Consider the following 5,467-nt stretch of genomic DNA (forward strand, 5'->3'; position numbering starts at 1 on the left):
GCCCGCCCCCCTCCTCTCGGCGGTTGGGAGCCGGCCCCGCCCTCGCCCGCTCCCCGCGCCGCCCCTACATTTTCTGATTCTCTGCGACCTTCGCGGATCCCCCCGTCCCCTGCAAAGCCTCGGCCCCTCCCGGCACCCGCAGGACCCCGTGAGTGGCGCGTGGGTGTCCGTCCCGCGCGTCCGACCTGTGATCTCCGAGTGGGTGCGTGCGCCTGAGACCGCGCGGTGTGTCCGAGTGTCCGCATCCACGTGTCCCTACGATCGTGTGCATTGCGGGGCATCCACGCGTGTCCGTGTCCGTGTGTGACCGCACGGTGCATGCCAACCACGGCCTGTGTGAGCGTCCGGGCGTCCGTGGGTTTGTGCGCGTGGATGCGTGTGTTTCTGCTCCTGGCTTGAGCGTGTCCGGGGCCTCTGTCGTGGGCCTGTGGCGGGGCCCCTGGAGTGGGCCCCCTGGTCTCCGGCCGGGCTGCAGTGCCATGTGCGGTGTCTGTGTGCGACTCAGTCCCTCGGCCCTGTCCTTTGGCCCCTCCCCCTCACAGCCTCGTGGGCTTGGCCAAAAGGAGCCCCCCAGAAAAGACGAGGGATGTAGAGTCCAGCGTCCCCAAGGCAAGAGACAAGTCAGTCACCCCCTCCTCTTGAACGGATCCTCCTATCCCACTTCCAGCACTTCAATTCTCCATTTATTTTCCTCTCTGTTGCCGAAACATATTGAAGGGGAGAAAAAGGAAACATTAAGATCCACTGTGAGCTGCGCGGAGGTTTAACGATTTCAAATGAGGCCCGGCTCGGGTGAGGACCTGACAATTCCCCGTCAGGATGGCAGATGACGGCTAAAATTACCCGGAATCAATATTCTCACCGGGTGTCCCGGGCTGATAAGCTCCGCCAAGACAATGTTGACTATTAAAGTCGACAGCTTGAGATATTACACTATTAGTTATGCTATTTTTAATAATCTATAATATTTGGGCTATAATTAATTAATTATACGGGTCAGATAATATCTAGGGCTGGAATGAGGTCTGAAGGACCCATTACGGTGGTAATGAGAAAGGGGAAATCTAATCTGGGGACAGGTGCTGCGAAGGCCTGGGATACTGCTGCCCGCCTCGCTGGCCTCGTCCCCACCAGCAGGCCCAGCATGGCCCAGCTTCCTCGGACGCAGCCAGTGGGCACGTCAGGCAGGGTTGCTTGAGGTGGGGCCCTCAGCGGGCCAGGAGGACTGAGAGGCTGGGGTGGAGGGTGGGACTGAGAGGCTGGGGCGGAGGGCGGAACTGAGAGACTGGGGTGGAGGGCCCGCCCGCCTGTGTTGCTGGCCTGCAGCTGCAGACTTGGCCGGGGGGCGGGGGGGCAGGTGCCCACGTTCTTGGCTCTCTTTTGGGGCCTGGAGGGCCCCTGTCCCCCTCCGGCTTTCCTGTCTTTCTCTGAAGTGAGGGCCTGGCTGGACCATTCCCTGCATGTGTGGAGTCCAGTCCTCACCTCGAGCTCCTCCACCACCACCCCACACTCAGAGACTGAAACCCATGCCGGTAGCCAGAGTCCATGGGGCCGGCCGGGACTGCCCTGCCCACCCTTCCTCTCCTTTTCCTGGCTCCCACGACCCCACCGCACGGCCTCCCTGCTGCCTGAGGGGTGAGCGGGCCAGCTGCCTTCGCACTGGCTGTCCCCTTGTTCTGAAGTCACCTCCTCTTCATCTTCTCTTTGACATGAATTTCTCTGCTCTGACATTAGCTCTTCAGAGAGGCTGGATCCTGGCTGCCCTGGTCAACCCCCTATGCCCGCCAAGACTGCCCCCCAGTGCAGGATGTATTGACTTGCTGGTGGAATGGAGGACCCACACTGGCTCCGCAGTCCCGGGTCGTGTGCCTTTCAGGAGTGCTGCTGTCCCATGCCCAAAATCAGGACACACATGGTGGTCTGGGGTGAAATCTGAAGACATCACACATCACAGACACTGCAGCTTGGCGGCTGCTTTCCCCCTCGTCCTCAGTGCTGCAGGCAGCCTGGTGCCTGCAAGTGGCTCTGGTGAATGCAGCCCTTCCCTTGCTGGGCTTCCTAGTGGGGGCCTGGAGGTGCGGCCCAGTGAGTCTGCCCTGCCCAGTAGCTGTGGGCCTCAGACGCACCTGTCTTCTGGCAGCCTGAGGTTCTTTGGAACCTCCTGGCGGGGATCCAGGGGGCTTCAGCGGGGCTGGCTCGCTGTTTGAAACTCCACACCACCCCTTCCCTGTCAGGCCAGGCCGATCCCCTGCCCAGATGGCCCAGGTCCTCCTCACTGTCTCTGGGCATGGTGGCCGGGCAGTGGGCACCCTGTCTGTAGGGAATTTAAAACAATAGTGAGGCCAGGCACTGTGGCTCATGACTGTAATCCCAGCACTTTAGGAGACTGAGGTGGGCAGATCACCTGAGGTCGGGAGTTCGAAACCAGCCTGACCAACATGGAGAAACCCCAACTCTACTAAAATTACAAAATTATCGAGGCATGGTGGTGGTTGCCTGTAATCTCAGCTACTTGGGAGGCTGAGACAGGATAATCACTTGAACCCGGGAGGCGGAGGTTGCGGTGAGCCAAGATCACACCACTGCACTCCACTCCAGCCTGGGCAAGAGCAAAACTCCATATAAAAAAAAAAAAAAAAAAGTGAAAGCAACAAACGGGCTGCCTGCTTCCTCCCACCACAAGAGACGTGCTTCTGAACAATGTCCGTGACCAACACTCCTGCCCAGGAATGTGTTTTGACGGTCAAAGCTTGCAGTGGCGGCTGTGGGTACTGCCGGGTGTGTGCATGTGGACAGGTAGCATATGAGCATGTAAATGTCCTTTGCTAAGTGTGTGCCCTACACGGAAGCGAGTCTATAGAATCCCGGTTCACAGTTGCTTGTGGCCTGCCGATGCGGCCACACGCGTCCATTTTGAGAGGAGGCCTGTGGTTTGGGAGCGCGGTTCAATTTCAAGCTCAGCTCCTGTCCCCACCCCACCCCAGGTCCCACTCGTTCCTTTGTGTAAACAGTAGGTTCAAAATAAACAGATGGCACAGTGGCCGCAGAGACCAAGCTGCAGAACTTGGTGCCTCCCACCCTGTTCTTCCAGGCGCAGGCTGCCCGCACGCCTCGCGGCACTTACTCCCTCGGACATGTTTCTTCAAGCGCCTTTTTCTGCTAAAAATACATCCATGCCGAGAGCAGTTTGGCGTCCTGGACTGGACCCTGGATGACAGAAGGGACATTCGTGGGGGAAAAAGTCGGTGAAATCCCAGAGGGTGTGTAGTTTGCTTCATAGTGTGTGGCGATGCCGCTCTCCTAGTTTTGACAAATGTCCGGGGGTGACTTAAGAGGTGAATGTGGGCTGCCGTGGGGTGTAGGTGGGTGCTCTCTCATGCTCCTCGCAGCTTTGCTGTTAATCTAAAATGATTCCAAAAAGGAAATATTTATGACATTCATGTCATTAAAAAGCATCAACCCATTCCCTTTTTCCGATTTTGCATTATAATACGTAGTTAATTTTTTTACTAATAATATATAAATTCAATAAAACTTTCACCATTGGCATGCACTTTCTGTTGCTTGTTTCATTACATGGCAATTTCTGCCATAATTTTTTTTTCTTTTTAGAGGTAGGCTCACTCTGTCACCCAGGCTGGAGTGCAGGAGAGAGATCTTGGCTCACTGCAGCCTCGACCTTCCAGGCTCAAGGCATCCTCCTGCCTCAGCTTCCCAAAGTGCTGGGCCAATGATAACTTTTGTTTGCTTTTTGAGACAGGGTCTCACTCTGTCGCCCAGGCTGGAGTGCGGTGGCGCAGTCACGGCTCACTGCAGCCTGGAACTCACAGGCTCAAATGATCCTCCCACTTCAGCCTCCTCACTAACTGGAACTACAGAAGCCTCCACCTCACCCAGCAAATTACTGAACTTAATTTTTTTGATGTGCCCTGGGGTCAATACTCGAGATAGGTCCTGGTGGCTGCCTCACCAAAGGATGCCCCATTACGTCAGTCCTCCCAGCCCCTATCCAAGTGCCCATTTGTCATCACACTGAGGAGGCTGTGGGGTGAGGCTCCATGTCTCCTCCTCCACCTCCCCAACACGGCAGATGTGGGAGGCAGCTTAGGGCTGGGGATGAATAAGGGAATGTGAACACAGACACCACCCAGGACCACACCCCGTGATCCCAGCGAGGGGGGCTGGTCGTGACGGTATCTCTTTCCAGCTGTGACGAGGATGCCACCTGGGCTTCCTGCTGACCTGGCCGAACCCTGCCAGGTGTCTGTGAGGACATCCTGCCCTCACAGTGATTGTAGACAACCGTTGCCTTTTCTAGTGATCAAAGTAACACGTGCTCGTGAAAAAGCACAGAGGAGAAGCAGCATCTCCCATAACCCACAGCACAGCGACGGCCCAGCTCACACCTTGCCGTTTTCTGCTTTCCTCTCATCTCGTTTTCTGCTTCCTAAAAACATAAATGTTGGCCGGGTGCTGTGGCTTACGCCTGTAATCCCAGCACTTTGGGAGGCCGAGGCGGGCAGATCACTTGAGATCAGGAGTTCGAGACTAGCCTGACCAATATGGTGAAACCCCATCTCTACTAAAAAAAAAAAAATACAAAATTAGCCGGGTGTGGTGGCGAGTACCTGTAGTCCCAGGTACTCGGGAGGCTGAGGCAGGAGAATTGCTTGAACCCAGAAGGTGGAGGTTGCAGTGAGCCGAGATCTTGCCACTGCACTCCAGCCTGGGTGACAGAGCGAGACTCTGTCTCAAAAAAAAAAAAAAAAACCATAAATGTGGGCGCTGCACCTATAGCCTTGGGCACTTGGATGCTGGCCCCCCCTTGTATCCTAGGCATTTCTCGTTGTCATAGCAGACTTCGTAACACAGGTTCTTACCGGTCCCATAGAACCCTGTCACACGGAGGGCGTGAGCCGTCCATCCGTGTGCCTAGGCAGTCTGGCTTTCTGTGCCTGGAACCACTGCTGTGTAGATTCTTGTTTAGACTTGAGTTCACCTCTAGGAGACACCAGAAGTGATGGGTTGGGTTAAAGGGAGGGAATTCCTAAAGGCTGGGTAACGTCTCCGGCGTCACTGGCATGGGCACCATCTCACAGGGTGGCATCCCCGCCTCCTTCTGTGGCGGTTGCCATTTCTGTGGACACTGGTGAGAAGGAACATTTTCCCTCATGAATATTAGCCACGTAGCTTCTTTTTTTTTGTGAACTTTGTCTTCTTTGTGAGCTCTGTCTTTTTTCCATTTGGTCAGCTATTGAGGTTGTTTTGTGGGTGGCAATAGGTTAAAAAGTAACCTTGGGTTGGGCATGGTGGCTCATGCCTGTAATTTGGGAGGCCGAGGCAGGCGGAGCACCTGAGGTTGGGAGTTCGAGGCCAGCCTGGCCAACCTGGCGAAACCCCGTCTCTACTAAAAATACAAAATTAGCCGGGCGTGGTGGCAGGTGCCTGTAATCCCAGCTACTCGGGA

At 55.7% G+C, this 5,467-nt stretch overlaps 1 annotated feature.

The window, feature by feature from the left end:
* Positions 227-900: an enhancer, noted in NCBI's record as "H3K27ac-H3K4me1 hESC enhancer chr4:1408939-1409612 (GRCh37/hg19 assembly coordinates)". NCBI's record gives its function as "activates a minimal SCP1, AML or CMV promoter by ChIP-STARR-seq in naive H9 embryonic stem cells {active_cell/tissue: H9 hESC(naive)}" and the evidence as "EXISTENCE:reporter gene assay evidence [ECO:0000049][PMID:30033119]".

This window comes from Homo sapiens, chromosome 4 (assembly GCF_000001405.40).
Source record: "Homo sapiens chromosome 4, GRCh38.p14 Primary Assembly".
NCBI lineage: Eukaryota > Metazoa > Chordata > Mammalia > Primates > Hominidae > Homo > Homo sapiens.